Consider the following 26,674-nt stretch of genomic DNA (forward strand, 5'->3'; position numbering starts at 1 on the left):
CATCACTACTGTGGCTAGTCATTTCTCTGCGCTCAAAACCTGTGTCACTCTGACCCACAGCACTTTCATTTCCCTTCCTAGGCAGCTGCCAAGGCCAACTCTACAATGTTTCTGGACTCCACTTGCTCCTGTCTATCATACTACCAGTCATGGTAATACCCCCCATTATTTCCACAGGCTCCCAGCAGGTCTCTGTGCTTCCAGTTGGGCTAAGTTCTCTGTCTCTGCCTCTCTCCTATCCTGTCTCTCTCCTCTTGAATCTATTCCGCCAGAGAGACCCTTATAAAGCCATACAATACAGCTTTGATCCTGTCACCCCACTGCTCAAAAGCCTTCAGCATTGCCCTCTTCTGCCCACCTAATGAAGTTCAGATTTCTTCAATGGACATTGAATATTTTGGTCTAATCCACACCCCAATCTTATTACCCACAACTCCTCCATCCAACATAACTTGATGCACCTTTAAAAAATAAATGAATACGTAAATAAAGGATTGGAAGGCAAAACAACCCCTTCCCGCTAAGTGTTGTTACTGCCTATATAGACTTCCCCACAGGTCCACACTCATTACTGATGCTCATGGCAATGCCATCTCACACCTTCTATCCAACCTACGACCCTTGCAAAACCCTCCAAGATCCAGCTGCATCACATGTCCCTCCCAGATCCCCAGAACTGAATGTGCTCTTCCCTTCTTTGAACCACCATTACATTCCTTACCTCCATCATAGTAAATAATTACTTTCCATATGTATTAAAGATATCTTTGGCCAGGCGTGGTGGCTCACGCCTATAATCTCAGCACTTTGGGACCCTGAGGCTGGTGGATCACCGGAGTTCGAGACCAGCCTGGCCAACATGGTGAAAGCCCATCTCTACTAAAAATACAAAAATTAGCTGGGTATGGTGGTGCATGCCTGTAATCCCAGCTACTCGGGAGGCCGAGGCAGGAGAATCGCTTGAACCTGGGAGGTGGAGGTTGCAGTGAGCCAAGATCATGCCACTGCACTCTGGCCTGGGCAACAGAGCAAGACTTCATCTCAAAAAAAAAAAAAAAAATCTTTGAACTTTGCTTAGAGTATAAACTCCATGAGGATAAAGACTGTGCTTCATTAACCCTTGTGTTTCCTGAATTGCCCAATCCTACCATACACATAACAGATACTTTATAAACACTGAGTGGTTGGATGGATGAAGGAATGTTGGGGTATGCTCTTTCACATGCCCAAAGCTTCATACTTTGCAAGTAACTTAGTTCATCAAAGGTCAAAGCCTTCCTCCCATTTCTTCAGTGTTTCTGTTTGGTTTGTTTTTGTTTTGGTACCAACTACCTGAATACAATAAATAGCCTACTGCCCTATGGGGAAGATGATCTGGTAATATAGAAACAGTGCCAGAATGGGCATCAATTTACTTGTGCTTAGTAGCAGCAAAACTTTCATGATGGTGTATTCTTCAAAGGTGAGCTGCAGTCGAACGAACTGAAGGCTGATTTGGTGCATCCCCTGGCATAGTTCATACATGGCAGACTGATGCATCTTCTCTCTGCAAAGGAAAAGAAGAAAATGTCTGAGAATGCAAGATTCATTATCAAACCCAGACTGGCAGCCTGAGGCAGCTTAATAAGAGATCTGAGTCAGAATTCTCCTTTTGGCTTCAACATGGAGCAGATGTGTATTTTAAAGACAAGTTAGATGCTTTTCATAGTGACTGGTAAATTGCTTCTAGACCAATACTGCTGGGCCGTTTACTTGTACCCTGTGAGAATGTGTCAGGAGCACTGAAACCAACCCTTTTAAAGTATGCCATGATTTCATTTTATGTCAAGAGTAATACTGACTGATGAGGATTTTAGTGTGTTACAGTGAGACCATCCACAAAGCAGAGAAGCTGCTGTGATCTGACTCTTGTTCCTTTTCAGCCACAGATATCCAGCACTTATAGGAAAGGACTGGGCTAGATGCTACGAACATAGGATGGGGATGACCAATCTTATTTCTCCATGGGCCTTCCTTACAGAGGTCATGGAGCATGTTATTAACTATTTACAGCAACATGTTTTAAAAGGGAAATTAAAAAATACTTTAAAAGGTGAGAACGTCAAATGGAATTTTTCTGATAAAGAGAAAAAATGACAAGGGAGTTTGGCACAACATATACAAATACTTCCACACACACAACCAAACAATACCCTCACACCACTATCCAAATGCTTCCATAAAAATCCATGTTATCTAAAAACAGAAGTCATTATTTTCTCTTTTCTTGAGAAGTAAGCAAGGCATCACTATTTTTTTTAGATGTTTTCCTTCAAAGTAATAAACCTTTTGTAAGGCCCTGGATAACTACTGGTTCATGGTGACCAGACCGTAAAAAGTGAAAGAGACACTATTGGTGAAAAATGGGAAAGGACTTGCCAAAGGCCAAAGAAACAGAAAACGAGGTCTGGATAGTGGATCCATTAAAGGGTGACTGAAAGCAGGCAGCGTCTGCAGGAAAGCAATGTGGGGATCTCTTTTGCAGGATGGATTCTGGGGCTCCCCTCAATTGGCAGAAATCTCTTGCAACTCAACTCTGAATGCCAATTATAAGGAACCCATAACGAAACACAGCACATGTTCTCTGCATTACTGTATGTCTTTCCTCTCCCCCAGTAAGATAGAAGCCATTTTAAATTAAGGAAATATTTTAAACACACACATGCTAATAGCATGAGCTTCCAAATCTACCATCCAGAATTAACAGTATAAACAAATGCTACTATTTTTGCAATATGTGCACCGGATTTTTAAAAATTAAAAATGGCAGAGTTAAGGCCCACTCTGCCTTCTTCCCCAATCCCATCCATCTCTTCCTCTTTCAAGAAGAGAACCACCCAGTCTGGGTGATTATCATTTCCTCTCAGATGTGTCTATTTCACTACACATGTATGTATCTACAAAAACAGCATACAGTACTGCTTTGTTTTATGTAAATTTGAAATTAGATATGCACATCCTTCTGCAACTTATTTTTATTGAACAGTAACTTTGAGATGTATCTATTTTGATACAGGTAACTAAGTTAATTCATTTTAACTGCTTCGAGCTTCATTTGTTTGAATGTATAGCAATTTACTTATCCATTCCACTACTGATGGACACTTGGGTTGTTTGCTCTTTATTGCTATCACAAATGATGCCCAAGGAATATCCTTGTCGTTTCTACAGGATACAGAATGAAAACAGAACTTCTGAGTCATAGATTTGCACATGTCACCTGCTTTCATTCCAACCAGCAGAGCATGAGCGTGCCCTTACTTCACATCCCCACCAATGATTGCCATTATCCAATTTCATTTTTTTTCTATTTGATGGGAGGTTGAATGGATAGTACATGGTTGCTTTTATTTCCATTTCCATCATCACCAGTAGGTTCAGCATTTTTTCAAATGTTTACTCATCATTTGGGTGTCTTCTTTGGTGATTTGACTATTCATATCTTTACCAATTTTACCCATTTTTTCCTTCTCGCACTGAGTAACACCATTTTTATTCCTAATAATTTTTTGCCTTAAAAATATCTGATCTTCACATTGTTTTTCTTTCTCTCTGCCTCTTTTTCTTGCTCTCTTTAGAACTTGTCAGGTGTGCTGTCCACCTTTCTTTTGATCCCTTTGTTTCAAACTTCCCACGTAATTATATTTCACACATATTTTCTAAACAGAAAAGGCTGGATTAAGAAATCGGAGAGTCTCTGTATTTTAATAACTCAGTTTAATCTGTTTTTAGTTATCATGATTACTGACAAGTTTGGATGTTCTCTACCATTTTAACTTACTTTCCTTCCTCTTTCCCTTCTTCCTCCTTCTCTTCCTTTCATTGGATTGACCTAGCTTTTTAGCCCCCTGTTGCTGGAAGTCAGGGACCCCGAACGGAGGGACTGGCTGGAGCCGTGGCAGAGGAACATAAATTGTGAAGATTTCATTTTAATATGGACATTTATCAGTTCCCAAACACTACTTTTATAATTTCTTAAGCCTGTCTTTAATCTCTTAATCCTGTTATCTTTGTAAGCTGAGGATGTATGTCACCTCAGGACCATGGTGAAAATTGTGTTAACTGTACAAATTGATTGTAAAACGTGTGTTTGAACAATATGAAATCAGTGCACCTTGAAAAAGAACAGAATAACAGCGATTTTTAGGGAACAAGGGAAGACAACCAAAAGGTCTGACTGCCTGCGGCGTCGGGCAAAAAAAGCCATATTTTTCTTCTTGCAGAGAGCCTATAAACAGACGTGCAAGTAGGAAATATATCACTAAATTCTTTTCCTAGCAAGGAATATTAATATTAATACCCTGGGGAAGGAATGCATTCCTGGGGGGAGGTCTATAAATGGCCGCTCTGGGAATGTATGTCTTATGCGGTTGAGATAAGCACTGAGATACGCCCTGGTCTCCTGCAGTACCCTCAGGCTTACTAGGATGGGGAAAAACTCTGCCCTGGTAAATTTGTGGTCAAACCGGTTCTCTGCTCTCAAACCTTGTTTTCTGTTGTTTAAGATGTTTATCAAGGCAATACATGCACTGCTGAACATAGACCCTTATCAGTAGTTCTGCTTTTGCCCTTTGCCTTGTGATCTTTGTTGTACCCTTATTGGTAGTTCTGCTTTTTGCACTTTGTCCTGTTCCCTCAGAAGCATGTGATCTTTGTTAGCCCCTTATTAGTAGTTCTGCTTTTTGCCCTTTGAAGCATGTGATCTTTGTACCTACACCTGTTCTTACACCCCCTCCCCTTTTGAAACCCTTAATAAAACTTGCTGGTTTTGAGGCTCAGGTGGGCATCATGATCCTACCGATATGTGATGCCACCCCCAGTGGCCCAGCTGTAAAATTCCTCTCTTTATACTGTCTCTTTATTTCTCAGCTGGCCAACACTTATGGAAAATAGAAAGAACCTACATTGAAATACTGGGGGCGGGTTCCCCCGATATCCCCTCTCTGCTATGGCTCTACTGGATTTAGAAGCTATACATGCTGTTTTTACACCTTAAGTTATCATTGTTAAATCTAGTTTCTCTCATACACACACACTCCAGGTCTGCTTAGATTTCCCCAGTGTTTCTCTGACCACCATCACTTCTTGCACTTTACTCCTGAGTTCAGTTTCTTACTTATTGAAGAATGTATTTTAGTAATTCTTTCAGCAGTGATTAGTTGATAAATGTTCAGGGGCTGGGTGCAGTGGCTCATGCTTGTAATCCTAGCACTTTGGGAGACCGAGGCAGGCAGATCACCTGAGGTCAGGTGTTCAAGACCAGCCTGGCCAACATGGTGAAACACCATCTCTACAAAAATAGAAAAACTAGTTGGGCATGATGGCAGGTGCCTGTAATCCCAGCTACTCAGGAGGGTGAGGTGGAAGAATCACTTGAACCAGGAGGTGGAGTAATAGTGAGCCAAAATCTGCCATTGCACTCTAGCCTGGGTGACAGAGTGAGACTCCATCCCAAAACCAAACCAAACCAAACCAAACCAAACCAAAGTTCATGTCTCACATCTTTTGGTCTCAATTTGTCTGAAAATGTCTTTATTTTATCTTCATTCCTGGATGATAGTTTAAAAAGCTATGGATTTCTAGCTTGACAGGTGATTTACGACAGTACTTTGCAGATAGTATTCAACTATACCTGGGCCTTAATTGTTGCTTTTGGGAAATTTCCTGTTAGTCTAATTGTCATTCTCCTGAAGGTAGCCTGCATTTTTCTCTTTGGTAGCTTTAAAATTTTTTTCTCTATTTATATGATTGCCTGCAGTTTCATTATGATGTACTGAGGTGCAGACTGATTTTTAATTCTCCTGTTCAGGACTCAATGTCCTTATTCAACTTGCATACGTAAGTATTCCTTCAGTTCTAAAATGTTTTTAGCCATTGTCCCTTCAAATATCACCCCATCCTGTTCCTGTTATTTTTCCTTTTTAAACTCCATTTAGCAGTATGTTGGACCTTCTCCTCATGTCTTCCACATTAGCCTCTCTTTCATATCTTCTCACTTTTTATCTCTCTGTACTGCATTCCTAGGTGATTTTCTCAGATCTCTTTTCCATATAATCTACCATTTAATATCTATAGTGTTTTAATTTTAATGGCAGTATTTTTCATGTTGAGGAGCTGAGAAATGCTCTATTCAATTCTCTCTCAAACATTTCTGTTCTTTTCCATAGGTATTTTTCCTTTACATATCTAGATATTTAAACATTTATTTTATAGTTTCTTTCAGATGTTTTATTCAAATTTGGGGGGTGCTAATATGCATATCTAACATGTATTGTTTTGGCATGTATTGTCTTCTAGGTGAATCCCATGGGTTCTGGCTTGTGGATGGGACACTACAGAGTTTTAGCATTTGCTACTGCCATGGGTATAAGCATTTTACTTGTTCTGGAGCAGTTTTTATGCTAATTTCTCAGCTTAAACACTTTTTGCAAGACTCATGTAGTTTAAATTTAGACTCCACACTTGATGTGGTGCAGGTTTTTGTTTCTTATTTCTTTCAGCTTCCTTGCCATGCTGGCTGGTTGGTTTAGTTTTATTGTCCTTGTTAGTAGACAGCGAAATCTTTGCCAAGCCCTGGATTTATGCAGGGAGCTCTATTTCAGGTGCTGGCCTTGTTGGAGTCTAGCTTCCTGTCACCTTTCTCTGTCTGTGTTCTAATACCCACTCCTCAAGCGCATATCTGTATTCAATAGTCAGTGGGCCATCTGTGGCATTAGTTCTGCTTTAAAGCACCCTGCCTATGAATTTCCTAGTTTTGCACCTTTTAAAAACATTTCTTTTGAGCTTGGCTATATATTTAAGACTTTTTTTTTTAAATGCAGAATTTCTGTGTGTTTAGAAAAATTTAAAAAGCTCAGTTTAGTTCCATCATTTTGATTGGTAACTGCAAACTTCTTCAAGACAGGATCCATGTCTAACTTTTGTAAATGTCAAAAAGAATATGATAAACAAGTGCTATGTGTCAATCTTTGCTAAGCATTTCTCATGAATGAATGATAGAGAGAAGGAAAGGAAAAAAGAAAAGAGAACAGTTAAAGGCTATGAAAACATACAGATTTGCATATGATGATGATAATTAAGGAAAATACTGGCAATTTATAAAAAGTAAGATTATCAAGTGGCCACAAAATTAGATATTGCATTTAGGAAGTTCTACAAAATTTTTGAGAGAGAAAGACTGATTTAGATTGTGACATGGGTAAAGCAAATTGGAAAATCAGGATGTCTGTGGAGCACAACACAACACGCATTTCATACTGTGCGGCTTGAAAAATGTGCTCATATGCATTTGATTCCTTAAGGGGGCATCCCTGGCTTTGCCCCAGCAGGTCCTAGAGGGGCACAGCCCATCAGCCTTTCAGCATGCTGGCTTTGTGATCTGGTAGCATGTGACCTGGTAGCTTTGTGATCATGTACCATCTGAGATCTCAGGCTTATCACATATAAAATTGGAATACTAATAATAATTCCAATCTTGCAGGGATGTATGAACTAAGTATATGCAAGCTCTTAAATTATACTTCACACATGTTAGCTTTATTTGGAAATCATGGAGAGAATACAATGCTTCTTAAGAGACCAATGATCATTTGGTTGAAACAAACCAAGAAGGAGTCAAGTCTTAAAATAAGTTTTCAGGAATACAGTATTATGTTATTATTTTAAATTATTTCTATATAGAAGATGGCAAATCTAGGGAAAAACCAGAGATAATGTAGGTTTTCAGAAGGTAGAAATAACTTGCCTAGAGTAGAACATGAGAACGGAACACCTCCATGTCAGAGTGTTTCTGTTATCAGATGTGTTAACAAAACATCCACACACAGATTAAAGATTAAAGAGAGACCTCAGATTCCACTTGAAAACAGATTAGAACGTTAATGTGTGACAACACACCTAAAGAAAGCATTTTTTTTGCCACTGCAGTATGAACAGCATCTCTTTTTAACTCTTTGTGAGGTATTAACTAAATAACCTCTACAGTCTCCATAGCTATCATTTATGGATTACCCGCCACCCACCAGAGCTAAATTTCTTCTTGCTAAATCTCAAAATGCCCTGTGAGGAATTATTCTCATATTCATGATAAGGAATTTTAGGTACATGTGAAGCCAGGATCCAAACCCAGGTTTTTTACTTCAAAACTCAGGCCTTCTCCTTTCTCTGTGTGCCAAGCTGAGTAATGATTTTTGGCCCTTTTTTCCAGAGTCATACAACTCTATTCAGTACCTCCAGTGTTTTGTTATTACAGTCACTCATTTGTTTATTCTTTGCTCCCCATTATGTGGTAACATTTTGTGTTTTCAAATTCCATTGCTGTTTCCATTGCATGAAATCGAATTCTCTAAATGAAGAGTACTGAGCACTCAATATAGCTTGAAATTTCAAGAAAATAGGTCATCTTGAAAATGCATTTTATATCACATCATTTTTGCACAATTTTTTGTGCAATTGTGCATTTTTTTGCACAATTAAATTAAATGTATAGAAATGTACATGCAAGGAAGTTGAAATAAGGACAATCTTTTGGCATAATATTGGTATTAATTTTGCAATATCGCTTTACAGAATATACTCTTTGCTACGTGCTTTTATTCATGTTATAATTTTACCTCATTTTGAATAGAATAATGTAAAAATATACTGACTACTTTGGGAAAGAGAAGCAAGCTCATATAATGCTTCTGTAAAACAAAAGTAAATCCATGACCAAAAGTCACCCTTGAACAGTGGACTAATACAAATGTGGTAATAGATTACTGATGTAGAAAACAGCCATATAGTGAACATCAGACCTGAGTAACTAACAGCTGCTAGTCTCTACTTAAGAACCGTGAGTACTAATATACTTGCACATGTCAGCCATTTCTAAATATCTTCTTATTTGCAGGAACAGAATAAAAACTTTACTTTTGGATAAATAAACACAGCAGCCAAAGTGGGTCTAGAGACCCATTCCAGAGGTTGGGTTAAAATGAATAATAGTTCTAAAATATTTTTTAAAAAACACTTCAATAGTTTTGTAAACTTGAAATTTTCTCAAATGAGGAAGCCAATTTTATTTGTAGCTATAACTTCATCTGGTCTTCTCTTAGAACATCCATTGTACTAAACTAAAATCATATGATCATTTGGAAATAGTTTTAAAATATTAAGTTAAAATTATCTAACTTCTCCAAATCTGATTCACTTGGGACTAAAGTGAATAATGAGAGTTAGACAATATTTTTTCCTTGCTTTGGAGAGAATTTGGGGTTAGAAATGGGGTTTAATTCATGTAAGAATAGTGGGAATTAGAAAAAGCCCATTAAAATCCGAGTGTGAGTAGGGCTTTCAAAATTTAAATGACTTGGGTGCTGGCTGCCTGCTTTTAACTGAGCACCTAAACAATCTGAACAACTGTTTTATCTACAGGACCCACCCATGCTATCTTACCATCATTATGTCAACCGTGTTGCCCTATTTCACATTATGAGACTAGTCCATTGAGCCTATCAGCCAATGGCTGTCAGAAGGAACACTCTTGTTTTGCAGGTACTGGCTTACCATTCAGGTATCTGGAAGTCCTTCTAGAAGTAGTTGATTTGAGAAATTATTGCCCCAAATTAAATGTAATCGTAGAATCATATTCATGTTGTATTTTGACAGAAGTAGATATTTGACAAGCCCAAACTACAAAGCATTCCAGGCTATGAATGCCTGTAGAACTTGGGAGCTCTAAGTTTGAGTCTAAACACCTTCACGGACACTTCATGCGGTGGCCATCCACCACAGTGAGAACACAAGCAAGGCTCTTCCATCTTCCACTGTCTAAATCTGTGGGATGGTTTGAACTTCCCACTCATTCCAGGTTCTCATCAGCAACCTCTATTCTGAGGTTGCCTTGATCTTGTCAAGGGCTCAGTTGAGTTCACCTTTGAGTTTTAGGGGCTAGTTTTAGGGGCATGCTTACCACTCAACTCCTTAATGGTTTCCCAAGGTGTTACCCCTGAAATTCGGCTAGACCACTAGGAAGTCACATAGGCAGGCCTCCAAAGCAGTGCATTTTGCAGACATTATTTAACATTATGCCTCCACTGAACTCTGCCAAGAAATAGCCCTTTGCAGAAAAACTGCATCTTTGCAAGATGGCTTCTGAAGATGACTTCCATTTTTTGTTACTCATCATTCTTATTAAGACTCATGTGATACATGGACCTTGAACTTTAGGCCTGGAAAAAGCTTCTTTCTTGATGCTAACTTCTACTTAATGAATCTCTGCAGGAAGTGAAAGCAGGCCATCGAGGGGATATTTGTTGTTCATAGCAGCATTATTCACAATAGGCAAAAGATAGAAGCAACCCAAGTGTTCACTGACAGATAAATGGATAAACATGTGGTATATGTATACAGTGGGACATTATTGAGTCTTAAAAAAGGAAATTCTGACATATGCTACACCATGGATGAAGCTTCATATTATGCTAAATGGAATACGCCTGTCAGAAAAAGACAAATACTGCATGATTTCACTTATATGAGCTATCTAAAGTAGTCACACTCATAGAAACAGTAAGTAAAACGGTGGTTACCAGGGGCTGGGGGTAGGTGGGAATGCAGAATTAGTTCAGTGAGTACAGTTTTAGTTTTGCAAGATGAAAAAGTTCTGGAGACTGGTTGCACAACAATGTAATACTACTACTGAACTGTACACGTAAAAAGGGTTAGAAGGCAAATTTTGTTATGTGTATTTTTTTATCACAACTAAAATATGTTTTGAAAATTAGAAAAACAAGAATCTCTACAACCCATAATCCTACCTGTTATAACTTTATTTATTTATTTATTTATTTTTGATGGAGTCTCGCTCTGTCACCCAGGCTAGAGTGCAGTGGCACGATCTCGGCTCACTGCAACCTTCGCCTCCCTGGTTCAAGCGATTCTTCCACCTCAGCCTCTCAAGTAGTTGGGATTACAGGCGCGTGCCACCATGCCTGGCTAATTTTTGTACTTTTAGTAGAGATGGGGTTTCCCCATGTTGGCCAGGCTGGTCTCGAACTCCTGACCTCAGGTGATCTGCCCCCCGCTTCGCCTCCCAAAGTGCTGAGATTACAAGTGTAAGCCACCGCACCCAGCCTATACTTTGAGATCGATTAAGAAACTAATATTTGTGTTTAATAATGCAACTTCTGTTAGCATTCAGGTGATTCATTCTTCTTTTATAATATACAAAATGTCTGTCTTACTGTTTTAGCTACTTGCTTTTTGCCTTTTTGTGTCTTGAATAGTTTTTAGTTTTACCGTATCTGTGTTTTTATTGCAAGCTATGCTCAATGCTTTTGGAAAGCATGCGGGGTAAAAATTCTTTAATAAACTGTGATTTCAAAAAGTCACTCAGAAACAGTTCCTCAAAGACCTTTCTGATATAGTTTTGGTACCCTAAAGGGGAAGAAAAATAGAACTACCTTTATCACTCTTTTCTCTTTCCACGAACTCACATTTAATAAATGTAATCCTTTCACATCAGCCGATTTTATAAATGCCAAAGCACAAAAGCTTCCCAACTCTTCCACCTATGGGAACCTATGAAAAGTACAATGACATTTTTAAACGTAAGATCCTTTAGTAATACTGCACTGAACTGTACCTTGTCAACTAAATACCTTTTAGGTATGTAAGACATCACTTTATTTAAGAAGGAACTACAAAAAGAAGCCTTTGAAATACTTCACATTAGCCCCTGGATTAAGCTCTACATAGCTCTCATCATTCTGAAGGTCTGTGTACTCTTCTGGATAGTGGGGTGCATATCTTTCTATGACTGATTTTTGTATGGTGCATAGGTCAACAATTATGTGAGTGATAAATAAATATCTGGCAATAAACAGGAACAGGTAAATCAACAGATTTCATAGACTTTCAGCTGTTCTTTTCTTTGTAGATATAAACAAAACAAAGGTTGTTTTGTTTTGCTCAATCAGGGTTGAAGTCTCTGGAATCTCAAGAGGAGGCCTCTCAATGAACACGTTTTTTTTTTTGTTTTGTTTTGTTTTGTTTTGTTTTTTTTTTTTTTTTTTTTTTGAGACAGAGTCTCGCTCTATCGCCCAGGCTGGAGTGCAGTGGCACGATCTCGGCTCACTGCAAACTCCGCCTCCTGGGTTCACGCCATTCTCCTGCCTCAGCCTCCCGAGTAGCCGGGACCTGGGACTACAGGCGCCCGCCACAATGCCTGGCTAATTTTTTTTGTATTTTTAGTAGAGACGGGGTTTCACTGTGTTAGCTAGGATGGTCTCAGTCTTCTGACCTTGTGATCCGCCTGCCTCGGCCTCCCAAAGTGCTGGGATTACAGGCGTGAGTCATCGCGCCCAGCCAAACATGTTTGTTAACATACTATTTATTAGTTTAGTAAACTGCCTCTAGGAATGTGTGTGTGTTACATTGTCAGAATGTAGGCAGCAATAGTGTCAATCTCGCAACAGAGAGTTAAATAACTTGACTGGTGTGGTGCACAGACGTAATCACAGCTGACCTGAAAGACCAGACCTTGTATCTGGTACTGCAAACTGCATCGTGTCTGAATAAATCTAACATCTTGTTACATGGTCAGTATAACAGATGGTCCATGTCTCAGGCTTATTATATTCCTAAAAACAGCATGCAGAAAAACAGGTTTTTTCTTTCAAACCTCAATTAGAATAAAAATGACCCCAATTTGAACATTCAAATTATTCCAGTTTACTGTTAATTTTTTTCATAGTCTTATTAATTTTTCCTCAACTGACAAACAAGATGTATCTGTAGAAGGACCATTTTGCTAGTTGCAGTTCTGACACCTGTTCATTTTTATAGTACTTGCAGAGTTTATTTATAACCAGGGTAGAACTCAGCCATAAGGTCTAGAAATCACCTGAGAATGCTATTGTGGTCTGCCTTACTGGTCTAATGTGTTAGAGAGACTAATGTCCCATTGGTCTCCACAACATTCATCCATTCTCTCTTAATTCTGCATGGTCAATTCTAGTAATAGTTAAAAGCTAATTCAGTATTTTATCACCTTAGTTGATGTTCCAGAAGAGATATGTTTTCATACAACTGCCCTTGGACTTCAACATCAAATATCCACTGACTTTAATTCATGATACACAGATCAGAATAACATGTGACAATGTAAAAATCTAGAAGGGGCCTTGTTATATGGCAACTGTAATTTACCAATGATAGTCCTAAAAGTCTGGAAAAAATTTTTTTAAACCATAAATCCTATATATAGTATTCTTAAAAACATTCCTTTATACAGTAGTTTTTAAAATAACTTATATAGTCAGCAGTTTCTTCAGGGTACAAGGATATATGTCTTTAGTGCAGGAGAGAAAACATGTAGCCATAATCCACTGTAAAATTCAGATTTCGAACAAAGTTAAAATTGGGGGTATCTGTGATAAATCACATTACAAAAATGTTTTGCTTGACCAAAGGTTTAATCTTAGTATTCCTTGAACTGTGAATTTCCCCAGGCAGACCAGTACCAATACAATTCACTTAAAAAAGTGATTTCTAAGCAACTTTTCAGGACTGCTTATTGTATCATGTGAGGCACATCTGTCTCTGAGATATGTGTCTAGACACCACACACTAAAAAAAGACAAAGAGCAAACTATAGGAGATTAAAAAGGAAAAATAGTTTACTGGACATTATCTATACAGATACTAGGGGCCTTGGTACAGGGAAATCCATGAATACGCCTGGCACTTAATTCTTACTAGAAGAGCCTACTACCAGAGGCCATTCTGATAGTACCAAATATCACTGGATATTTTAAGATTTAGTAAACTAAATTTTTAAATTCCAGGCTTTGCTAAGACAGTTTATATATGGCTTTGACAGAAGAACAGGCTCTAAGTGTCGACTAGACTATAATGATTTGCTTATTCCGAGAAATTTTTTGGAAAGGCAGTCAAACCTCACTGAAAACAGCATTCTAGGATTTGAATCCAGGCTGTCTGGTCTCAGATTCTGGTCTCCTAACTGCTGTATTAAGGTTAAAACACCCAACAGCAAGCTTGGAGACTCACGATCACTTAATAAATGCTATGTTAAGACTTACTGCCAGAGTTGCTACACCCATAGAAAGAATACAGAAGAACAACATTCTCAATGCCAGGTGCAGTGGCTCATGCCTGTAATCCCAGCACTTTGGGAGGCTGAGGCAGACAGATCACTTGAGTCCAGGGGTTCAAGATCAGCCTGGGCAACATAGTAGGACTCCGTCTCTATTAATAATGTAAAAATTAGTAGGGTGTGGGTCCTTATAGTCCCAGCTACTTGGGAGGCTGAGCTGAGAGGATCACCTGAGCCCAGGAAGCTGAGGACGCGGTGAGCCATGATAGGGCCACTGCACTTCAGCCTGGACGACAGGAGTAAGAACCTGTCTCAAAAAAAAAAAAAAAAGAAAAAATTCTCTAGTGAAGTATTTTTTTCACTCTCAAGCCTCGTATTTGTAGGCTAGGCTATAGATTTTAATACTAAATTTCTGAAAATTTAATGATATGCAGATCTCAGATGGTTAAACAGAAGACAGAAAACCTTTGGTGAGATATTATTGCTTCATACAGGGACATTTTGGGTATAAACGTAAAGACACTGCTTACTTTCAATAAATGACTATCGTTTCCTCACTTATAAAATGGGGCTGCAAAAAGGTAGGATTCCTTTACTTGATAACTTTGTTCACATTCTTGAAATTCAATAGTTAAATGCTAATTTAGAAACGTTACCAGACTATTGTTTGGGTAAAGGGTGACAGGAAATTACTTTTTCCTACTACAATAAAAGATTTGTATTAACCAACAACTCATGGGGTCATATTCTTGGAGTCACATTCATGGAGTCATATTCTTCCTAAAGCAAAAGTCGCATTACTCCAGTAACCAGAAGCTGGCGCAGGATGGTGTAGAGAAGGACGTTTACTCTGATAAAATCTGGGTGCACAATTGTGCCTCCAAGGCGACAGCAGAGAGTGGCTCACATGGGCAGATGTGATTTTGCAGTGTGCGAATGTGTTGGGGTGGGGACAAGGAAGGTAGAAAGCAGGTGTGCTCACTTTATAGGATCACTGATTCCTTTTTCTATCTTGAAGTCTATGATCCCGTAAAGTAAGCACACTTGCTTTCTATCTTCTTACTTTGGAAGAAGAAAACAGCTAAAGCTCCAGAGACTCTGTTATCATAGACACTATTAAATTCATTAATCAAATTATACCCTAGAAAACATTTTTGGATGCCACAATTCTGTAGGAAAGGTAGTTTCTTCTATTGGAATCATCTAAAAGCTGATACATCATCTGCCTGAATAGAAAAGAAGGGTGATGTCCAACTCAATTAATTTATTAGAGATTAGCCACGTGTCGTTTCTTATTACTGATTCTGAACATCTGTCACAAAGCAGATTTTGTTCAGGACATTATGAACAACTGCATCATTCATTACCGGGTGAAATAAGTGTAACACCACCAGGCCACTATACCACCAGTGACATTCATTTCCCACAAAACATCAACACTGAAACATACACTACACATGCACACAAAATGGCATGAATACAATGATTATTCAATGTATAGTCTAAATATTTCTTATCCTTTTAATCCACTTGTATGAAATTCCTTTTCTCAAGATAGATGAGGGGTAAAAGTGACATTTTCTAACCTTCTCCTCTACTTCGAAATTCTGTGAACTTCCTCTAATCAGAACTAAGTAGCGGTGCAGTTTCTCTTTAATGATAAATGATTTGTTGGTTTTTTGTGTTCATTGCTTAGAAGCAGTGAGTGTTAAGGACAACACCTTAAAAGTGTTAGCTCCCTGTGATTCTCTCTCTCTCTCTCTCTTTTTTTTTTTTTTTTTTTTTTTTAGAGGGAGTCTCGCTCTATCGCCCAGGCTGGAGTGCTGTGGCACAATCTCGGCTCACTGCAACCTGTGCCTCCCGGGTTCAAGTGATTCTCCTGCCTCAGCCTTCTAAGTAGCTGGGATTACAGGTGTGCGCCACCTTGCCCGGCTAATTTTTGTATTTTTTTTTTTTCTGTAGAGATGGGGTTTCCGCATGTTGGCCAGGCTGGTCTCGAACTCCTGACCTCAGGTGATCCGCCCCACCTCGGCTTCCCAAAGTGCTGGGATTACAGGCGTGAGCCACCATGCTCAACCCTCCCTGGGATTCTTGAGTAAAGCACTGGGCTCTTGGCAATCTTGTGAAAGAAAGGCAAGTGCAGTCCAAGCCCTCCCTCACTGTGATGCTTTGTACAAAGAACTGGAGGGTGGCAGAATGTGAGAGGGAAGGAAAGGGGGCAGGGGCAGCCACTTGGCAGCAATGTTTTCTGCAACAAGGAAAAGGAACAGCAGTGGTATGGTTTGAGTGTGTCCCTCAAAATTCATATATTGTCACTTAATTGTCAATGTGCTAGTAAGAGGTGAGGCCTGTAGGAGGCTCCACTTCTCAATCACCCGCTACAATCACCTCCTGTAGGAGGAGATCAAGTAGTAAGAGCAGAGCCCTCATGGATGGGCTTAGGGCCTTTATAAAAGGGGTTGAGGGGGGTGAGTTTGGCCCTTCTGTCCTTTCTGCCACATGAGGACAAGGTGTTCTTTTCCTCTGGTAGAAGCAGCAACAAGGTGCCATCTTGGAAGGAGATGGCAGCCCTTACCACACATTGAACCTGCTGGCACCTGCAACTTGAACTTCTCAGCCTCTAGGACTGTAAGAAAATAAATTTCTATTGTTTATACATTACTAAGTCTCACGTACTTTGCGAACAGTGGCACTAACAAACTAAGACAAGCAGTCAGGGAAAAATAATAATAGTAAAGAAAAGTCATTCCTCTGAGTAATTTCTGCAACTGAAATTTCACTGATTTTAAGACCAAGACTGATGGAGCTGCAAAAAAAAAGTTTTCAATTTAGGAGCAACCATCTCAAAGAAAAGAGCACAGAAGTTCATACTGAAGTTTAAAAAACAACAAAAACGGCCGGGCGCGGTGGCTCACGCCTGTAATCCCAGCACTTTGGGAGGCCGAGGCGGGCGGATCACGAGGTCAGGAGATCGAGACCATCCCGGCTAAAAACGGTGAAACCCCGTCTCTACTAAAAATACAAAAAATTAGCCGGGCATAGTGGCGGGCGCCTGTAGTCCCAGCTACTTGGGAGGCTGAGGCAGGATAATGGCGTGAACCCGGGAGGCGGAGCTTGCAGTGAGCCGAGATCCCGCCACTGCACTCCAGCCTGGGCGACAGAGCGAGACTCCGTCTCAAAAAAAAAAAAAAAAAAAACAAAAAAAAAAAACACCACCAAAACCAACAAAAAAAACAAACAAAAAAACTTTGTCCAGTCTGTGTTCTCTCTCTGGAAAAGTCTGTAAAAGTCTTAGCATGCCTAATTTCAAAGGCAAGACAATGGGATGTAGCATTTTTATTCAATAAAAAATGATACTGTCCCACTCACTCTACATGAGATAAGGAAGGGCTATAGAGCAAAAGGAAGGGAAAGAGAAAGGGTCAAGCAGAAACAGAAAAATGAGAGGAGAAAGAGTGGGGGACCAGTCATGGAGAGAAGGAAGGGAAGCAGAAATGGTGAGGGAACAAAAGGAGAGGGGGAGAGACACAGCCCCCTCCCTCTGAAGCTTAAGCCTGCAGTTCTTTGGGCCCTGTGGTTTGACAGCTTCAACTCTGGATTGCAGAGACCCATCCCCTTTCCTGCTCAGGTACAGCATCTCACGCCTGGATTGTACCACCCACTTCACTATACCCATCCAATTCTAACCCTCTGGGAGGACAGCATGGCCTTTCAAGCTACACAGTTTTGCCCGGCAGCTTTCCTTGACCACTGTAGTCCAGAAGAGTCACCTGCTTTTTTTTTTGAGATGGAGTTTCGCTCTTGTTGTCCAGGCTGGAGTGCAATGGCGCAATCTCAGCTCACTGCAACCTCTGCCTCCAAGATTCGAGGGGTTCTCCTGCCTCAGCCTCCTGAGTAGCTGCCACCTGCTTTTTAAACTCGAGTGCCCATCCATAACACCTGTCATCCGTCATTTGTCTTCACCTTGTTGGGCCACCATTTATGCATTTAGGTCTTACTTGTCCAGTAACTCACCAGCTACACTATAGAATTCTAGAGGATGGAAGTTATATGTTTCATTTCTTTTGATTCTGTACAGTAGCCACCATGGTATAGATAGTTTCAATATTTACTACTGACTGGCGAAAGGCTGGTCTTTTAGCTAAATAGTAAAAATAAAGAGAATTTATTCTCACTTTAGGGGAAGTGATTAGGATATTCATTTATAATACTGTACTACTCTTTTTTGAACACATTCTAACCACACATTCTCAAAGCTATGAGAATAAGTTATCTCACTGGTATGGTAGCACTATATAATCATAACCATAGGAAGGTAGAGGGGACCTGTAAGACACTTCCATCTCCATTATTCTGCAGAGAAGAGAAATGCAGTATAACGAAAACAGCACGCACTGTGAGGGGAGTCCTAGGCTCAGACCTGAGGCCCATCTCTCAGTGTGATGTGATCTTAGGTAATTTATTGGATCTCTCTCTGCCAAGGCAGCTGCATCATTTATGAAAGAGTGACAATAATATCTGCTTTAAAATGTAATTGGTCTGTAAATAAGATGATTCATACAAAAGCATCAAGCAGAGTAAATGGCACGTGGTAGGCTCTGTAAGTATTTTGCTACTAGACTATGAGCCCTTTTAGGGACTATGTTCTATCTAGCTTTGATTTTCCGGCATCTGATATATAGATTAAGTCTTTCTTGAATGAGGAAACAGATCCAGACCTTGAAGTGAGGCTTCCCCAAAGCCAGGCGGAATTAGAGTCTGGGTTGGGTTTTAAAGGTCATCTAGTCCAGTGGTTCTCAAATTGTGGTCTGAGGACGCCAGGGTGTCCCCAAAACCCTTTCAAGGAGTCTGTCAGATCCTCTTTTTTCCAACTAAGTATCTGGGTGAGGCTAAATTTTTTTCATATACCTCCCCCAAAACAACCCATCACAACAGACTAAATGTAAGAAGCAGAAGAGAGAATGCCATATTAAAGGAATTTGCAAACAGGCAAAACAATGCCATTCTTCTCACTTTTTTTGAAAAAAGTTCTTTTTCATAAAAATATTCATGTTTTATGTTATTTATAATATGTGATGGCTTTATGTTTCTTTTAAAATAAATTGATAAATCAATATTTTAGAAAAGTTGTTTTAATTTCTAATATGGGTAAATATCAATAGATATAACTTACATAAAGAAAAGCTCGTTAGGATTCTCAATGCTTTGAGAGCGTAAAGGGTCCTGAGAACACACTGTTTACAAACTGCTGGTCTGGGCTAATTCCCTCATTCTGTAGAAGGGAATTGAAGGCTCACTCACTCAACAACATGAAGCTCATTAACGACAATGTTAGGGACCGGGGCTTACGTCTTCAACAATTGAGCTCTTAAATACTGTCATGATATCAGAAAGGAAGAAAAACAGATACGGAGAAATAATTTAAAATATGAACCAAAGTTCCAGTTTTTCTAAGAACACTTTATTTCCCATTTGTGTTGTTCATATATTGGGTATGTCTCTCTCACCTATTTTATTTTTTTGAGACAGGGTCTTGCTCTGTTGCCCAGGCTGGAGTGCAGGTGCGATCTCGGCTCACTGTGGCCTCAACTTCCCTGGGCTCAGGTGGATCCTCCTACCACAGCCTCCTGAGTAGCTGGGGCCACAGACACATGCCACCACACCTGGCTAATTTTTGTATTTTTTGTAGAGTTAGGGTTTTGCCATGTTCCCTAGGCTGGTCTTGAACTCCTGAGCTCAAGCAATCTGCCCACCTCAGCCTCCTAAAGTTTTGGGATTACAGGTGTGAACCAAGATGCCCAGCCATCTCACTTATTTTAAAGGATAATTCTTATGAAAGATGATACATGATTAGTGCTATGATTTGAATATGTCCCCCAAAGTACATGTGTTACAAACTTAATCCCAAATGCAACAGTGTTGAGAGGTGGAGCCTAATAACCGGTGACTAGGTCATGCTGCCCTCATGGATGGATTCATGTTCTGATAGGAGTGGGTTATCTTGAGAGAGGATATGTTATAAAAGCAAGTTTCAGCCCCATTTGTGCTCATGCACATTCTCTTTCTCTTTCTTTCTCGCCCTTCTGCCTTCTACCATGAGATGATGCGGCAGGAAGGTTCCCGCCAGATGTGGGCCCCTTGATCTTAGGCTTCTCAGCCTCTACAACCGTAAGAAATAAATCTTGGTTCTTTAAATTACCCAGAATCAGGGATTGTGTTATTGCAGTACAATATGGACAAATGATGATTGGTTAGAGTTTCAAATATATATCATGTCTGAAACCATCATTAGGCTCCAAAGCTCTATACTGTGTGTAACTGCCTGAAAATCCAAATTCCATAGTAAAGGTAGAAGCCTTATGTAGCTAAAAAACTCTGAGCATTGGATAGACAGACACCTGTGTTCAAAACTTTGGGCTTTGGTTTCCTCATCTTTAAAAGCAGGATCATAAATTCCAACCTCACAGAGTTGTGAGGATTAAATAAAATGGAGTATTGGAGATAGTATTTAGCACGACACCTTCCATAAGCTTCCAGCATCAGCTCAGAATCCTTCAAAATCTCCCTCTAAACTGATTATCAGTTACTTTTCCACTATAGTGCCCAGGTAAGTGGAGACTGACATACAGCTGCAGTGGACAGGAAGTGGGGAAGTTCTAAACTGCTAATTCCACTGCTTCTGTTGAAGTGACGTCTATTTCAAGGGAGAGGGGCACAGATGATGTCTGTGATGATGATGTTATACAAGGTTGTCACACCTGTAGGTATGTATGTTGGCTCGGGCAACACTCCTACTGCAGCTCCACTGATCCAAGTGCACAGTGCGCTTTAATAAGCAGGCCGAGGGTCTCCAAATATGACCTTCTTGTTTGTTTCCCTTCATCCTCCACTTGTTTTTTTCAGAACAGTGTCAGCTGCCAGAACCCAGGGAAAATTAAACAACCTTTTCAGAGCCCTTCCCCACATGACCCTATTAAATAAGCTTGGGGTTCATGGGTGGAAAAGAGGAAAATTATAAAACCAAAATCATCTCTCATGTGATACAATAAAAATAATCGTGTGGTTCAATTTCAGTTCTAGAAATGTCTAAAGACATAAGTTCATAAAATGCTTTAAACAGCAAGACACATTCAAGTGTGTTTCCCTTCTTCAATCCAGAGCAGTGCCAGCAAAGCTACTATCTCTAGGTCTTGTGGCCTGTGTCAAGGGGGGAGTCTGGAGCCTTCCTTTGTTTTAGAGTTGACTGGCCCATTCCTTTCCACCTGCCCTATCTCGGAATAGAATCACTGCATAAAATTAATTTTTCTCCATTTACCAAATTTTCAATAAAGAAATCTACTCCAGGCTGGGCATGGTGTCTCACACCTGTAAACCCAGCTACTTGGGGGCCCGAGGTGGAGAACTGCCTGAGCTCAGGAGTTCAATGTTACGATGAGCTATGATCACGCCAGTGCACTCCAGCCTAGGTGACAGAGTGAAGCCCTGTCTCTAAAAAATACGAAGAAATTAGCCAGTTTGGTGGCACGTGCCTGTAGTTCCAGCTACTTGAGAGGTTGAGGCAGGAGGATTGCCTGAGCCCAGGAGATTGAGGCTGCAGTGAGCCGTTGTGCTACTACACTGCCTGGGCAACACAGTGAGACCACATCTCTACAAAAGTTAAAAAAAGAAAGAAATTTGCTCCAGGGACTTTATTTTATATAGAAAAGAAGAGTATTTTTAGCTGAAGAGACCAAGGCCCTTGAGCATGTTAACTGAAGTAAAAAGCAATATGCTAATATTAGCCACACTAAGCCTTTTGAAGATAATATATGATCTTAAACTGTTTTTGACTTTTATTAAAAATGAAAAATAGCTCCCTCTAGTTAGCCAGAATAAAGCTTGGATGTACTTCTTGCATCATTACTACTCTATCTGATCCCAATATAGTAATATATAGCTTAAACAGTTCATTCCATTTGCAGTCTCATATTTGTTTTGCTTTAATTTCATACTACCCTGGCAATTACCCAGCTTCATTAACTCCTTAGGAAATTTCTCAAGAATGCTACAAGAAATATCATACATGGAATATTAACATACAGCAGTACTCTTGAAGTAAAATTTAAAGAAGTCTGCAAAACTGAATCTTTTTCATTAAGCTTACATGTTAAGTCTCCAAAACACTGTAAGGTCAATCCACATCAGGAAATTGGATTCTGACCCATGTGCCAGAAAGAGCACATATTAACAAACCAAAAACAGTTACCGAGCGCCAGTTATATGTATTTTTGCGGCCGGGTGTGGTGGCTCATGCCTGTAATCCCAGCACTTTGGGAGGCCAAGGTGGGTGGATCACTTGAGGTCAGGAGTTTGAGACCAGCCTGGCCAACATGGTGAAACCCTGTCTCTACTAAAAATACAAAAAATTAGCTGGGTGTGGTGGCAGGCGTCTGTAGTCCCAGCTACTCGGGAGGCTGAGGCAGGAGAATCACTTGAACCCAGGAGGCGGAGGTTGCACACACCAGTGCACTCCAGCCTGGGCAACAGAGTGAGACTCCATCTCTCTCTCTCTCTCTCTCCCTCTCTCTCACACACACACACACACACACGTATTTTGCTAGACACTATGGATAACTTTAACAAGCATATTTTCTGTACTCTAGGTATTTACAGTATATCTGGAGTAAAAAACATATATAGACACAGTAAGTACCAAATGATTGAGATATAAAAGAAGTACTATAGAGCAGGGGTCCCCAAGCCTGGGGCCACAGACTGTATTACAGTCCATGGCTTGTTAGGAACTGGGCCACACAGCAGGTGGTGGGCAGCAGGCGAGTGAGTGTTACAGCCTGAGCTCCACCTCCTGTCAGATCAGCAGCAGCATTAAATTCTCATAGGACTGCGAACCCTAGCTGAACTGTGCACATGAGGGATCTAGGCTGCATGCTCCTTATGAGAATCTAACTAATGCCCGATGATCTGAGGTGGAACAGTTTCAACCTGAAACCATCCCCACACCCTGCCAGGTCTGTGGAAAATTGTCTTCCACAAAACTGGTCCCTGATGCCCAAAAGGTTGGGGACCGCTGCTATAGAGTGTATGAGGGGAAAGTCATTCTTTAATGGTAAGACAAGTCAGCAGCGAGAAAGTATGCTTTGGGTTGGGCTTGAGGGAGGGAGAAGGGAAGTATTAGGAGCAAGGGCACAGCAGTAGAAAGACCTAGGAAAGAGAAAGGTTAATTTGGCTGGTGTGGAGTATATGCGGAGAAGCAGCAGGAAATAATGCTGAAAATAGCATTTTAAAATTAATTAGTTTATCAAGTGCTTAACTAACGCCAGGCAGCATTTTAGGAGCTGGCAATGCAAAGGTAAATCAGACAGGCCAGGTTCCTGCCCTCCCAGCGCCCACACTAATGCGGGCAGGAGCGTTACTAGGGAGAAAACAGAGATGTGATCGAATGGCGACGGAAGTGGCAGGAGTGTATCCCAGACCTGACGGACAGCTCTAGGACCTATAGATCCTAGATCACACAGTTTGGTTATGTGTCCCCTCTAAGTCTCATGTTAAATTGTAATCCTCAGTGTTGGAGGTGGGGCCTGGTGGGAGGTGATTGGATCTCAGGGGTGCACGTCTTTCTTCCCCACCCCCGAAAGGGCCTCGTTTTGCTCTGTCACCCAGGCTGGAGTGCAGTGGCGCAACCACGGCTCCCTGCAACCTCCGCCTCCTGGGCTCAAGTGATACTCCCACCTCAGCCTCCTGAGTAGCTGGGACCACAGGTGTGCACCACCACGCCAGACTAATTTTTTGTATTTTTGGTAGAGACAGGGTTTCACCATGTTACCCAGGCTGGTCTTGAACTCCTGAGTAGCAATCAAGCAATCCGCCTGCATGGCCTCCCGAAGTGTTGGTATTACAGGCGTGAGCCACCATGCCCAGCCTCGGGGTGGATTTCGAATCGATGGTTTAGCACCACCGCCTTGCTCTAAATGCTGTCCTCCCGCTGACAGTGCTCATTTAAAAGTGTGTGGCGCATCCCCCTCCCCACCATCTCTCTTGCTCCTGCTTTTGCCATGTGATGTGCCTACTCTCCCTTCAGCTTCTGCCATGATGGGAAGCTTCCTGAGGCCTCCCCAGATGCAGATGCCGGTGCTATGCCTCCTGTACACTGTAGAACCATGAGCCAATTAAATCTCCTTTCTTTATAAATTTCCCAGTCTCAGGTATTTCTGTACAGCAATGCAAGAACAGCCTAATATAGATGATCAGGCAAAATCTGTCTGAACAAGGAATATTTAGAGCTGAGACAAGAAGGCTCGAAAGAGCCATCTTCCTGCACAGAGAACAGACATCCAGTTAAGAAGGAGTTTGGATCCTCAGTGCAGCAAAAGGAGGCCAATGTGGCTAACCAAGGGCACTAGAAAAGCTCTTGAGGAAATTCACTGAAACGACATATTATTTTAAGTACCACTTTTGCTGTTGTCATATACAAGTATCAGGGATGGGATCCAAGCCCTGCTCTCTAGCAGCACTGCAGGCAGGACTGTTTCACAATGCCGCCTTCACTTTTTCTGCTATGCCACCAACTTATACCTACCACTGGACTGTAAGCCCCATGAAGGGAGGGAATCTTGTTTTATTTACTGTTATATTCCTGCTGCCTAGAACAGTGCTTAATACACGGAAATTGCTCAATAAATATCTGCCAAATGAAAGGACAATAAATATCACTTATTTCCTTCTCCCAAGAGTAGTCTAAAATGAGAGGTAGGGTTTTATAAAAACAAAACAAAACAAAAACAACAGGCTGGGCGCGGTGGCTCATGCCTGTAATCCCAGCACTTTGGGAGGCCGAGGCGGGTGGATCACCTCAGGTCAGGAGTTCGAGACCAGCCTGACCAACATGGGGAAACCCCATCTCTACTAAAAAAATACAAAATTAACCAGGTGTGGTGGCACATGCCTGTAGTCCCAGCTACTCAGGAGGCTGAGGCAGGAGAATCCCTTGAACCCGGGAGGCGGAGTTTGCGGTGAGCCGAGATCGCACCATTGCACTCCAGCCTGGGCAACAAGAGCGAAACTCTGTCTCAAAAAAAAAAAAAAAAAAAAAAAAGACAAATGAAGAACTGAGTTAGGAAGTGTCCCCTCAGTTCTCGTCTTAAGTTAATACTCCCCTCTTAGGTGTTTCCACCTTTCTCAGGTACAGGCAGTCCCTATCTTCTGCGTGCTCAGTCTCGGAACTTCTCTCATTATGATGTAACTCAGAAGCACCAATGCAGCAGGTTATCCATTTCTTCCAGAACTTCCCTCCTCTCACTTCCTCTGCTAAAATGTCTGGAAATGACTTTTTTTTTCTTTCTTTTTGAGACAGGGTCTTGCTCTGTCACCCAGGCTGGGGTGCAGTGGTGCAATCATGGCTCACTAGCCTTGAACTCCTGGTTGCTCAAGTGATCCTCCCACCTCAGCCTCCCAAGTAGCTGGGACCACAGGTGCACACTACTGTGCCTAGCTAATTATTTGTAGAGACAGGGTTTTTGTTGCCCAGGCTGGACTTGAACTCCTGGACTCAAGCATTCCTCCTGCCTCAGCTTCCCAAAGTGCTGGGATTACAGGTGTGAGGTACCATGCCTGGCTAAAAGCGACTTTCTACTCCAACTCTAATTCTTACCACTATGATAGATTGACAAAAAGGAATAAATACTATTTTAAAAAGAAGTAGGGGAAAGGAGGGAAGGAAATAATTCTGGTTTTGGGGACTTGTATCTACCTCTCCTCTCTCCCTGTATATAACTGAATGACCGTTCTTGTTTCTAGCTTATAAAACCTCCTCCAGCCCCATTGCCCCTTCCCCTAGAGTTCACTCTGTCTAGCCTCCTTCAGGTGGGAAGATGGCCTCTAAACACTACTTTTGTAGTATAAAAACACAATTTCCATTCTGGAGTGCTTCTGCCCTTTGCAGATAAGGATCGACTATTTTCTACTTATGACGTTGCTTTTCTTTATTCAAGAGTCTTGAGCTCCACTGTCTCCAAGGGCCAGGTAGGAATGAAGAGAGCCAGATGCAAAATAGGCAGTGGTAGTGTTATAGTAGGTAGTCAGGCAGACATGATCAGGGCAGGAGAGGTCCCTCTCACTGCCACCAGGAATGTCAGGCGACCCTCAGGTCAGGCAGTTGTTATACTGTTTCTCTAAAATAATAACTGGTGTCAGCCAGTGCCAGGGAAAGGCAGTCTCCTAATAGATAGAAAAACCTGAAACTGGTGATAAGCAGCTTCCTGATAAGATCTCAGGAGTTGGGTGAGTGGGCTCAAGCACGCGCATGAAGAGGCAAAATGGCGGAGTTCAGGTATGGTATGACCTAGGAATACTGGACTGGTAAGGGAGGAACACCTTAAGTGAGCATGCATAGAACTCCAGTAAACACATTGTGCATGCTCCCTCCGAAATGCTGGCAGGCCACCCGGCATGCGGACAGCCCACCCCAAGGGAAGAATCAGGGGAGAAGGGACGCAATCTCCCGGAAAGCATGCCAACGTGTAAGACCCCAAGTCAAAGGTC

At 41.1% G+C, this 26,674-nt stretch overlaps 1 protein-coding gene across 8 annotated transcripts in view; it reads right to left on the bottom strand.

The window, feature by feature from the left end:
* Nucleotides 1–26,674, bottom strand: part of NR3C2 (nuclear receptor subfamily 3 group C member 2) — a 366,559-nt gene that overhangs the window by 39,979 nt on the left and 299,906 nt on the right. For all 8 annotated transcript variants that reach the window (NR_148974.2, NM_001437655.1, NM_001437654.1 and 5 more), the window contains one exon: nucleotides 1,416–1,546. Coding sequence is in view for 7 of the 8 variants with exons in the window: in NM_001437655.1 (NP_001424584.1) it covers nucleotides 1,416–1,546 (131 nt within the window). In the remaining variant the exon portion in view is untranslated. The remainder of the gene's footprint in view (nucleotides 1–1,415; nucleotides 1,547–26,674) is intronic.

Source organism: Homo sapiens, chromosome 4, assembly GCF_000001405.40.
Source record: "Homo sapiens chromosome 4, GRCh38.p14 Primary Assembly".
In the NCBI taxonomy this organism is placed as follows: domain Eukaryota; kingdom Metazoa; phylum Chordata; class Mammalia; order Primates; family Hominidae; genus Homo; species Homo sapiens.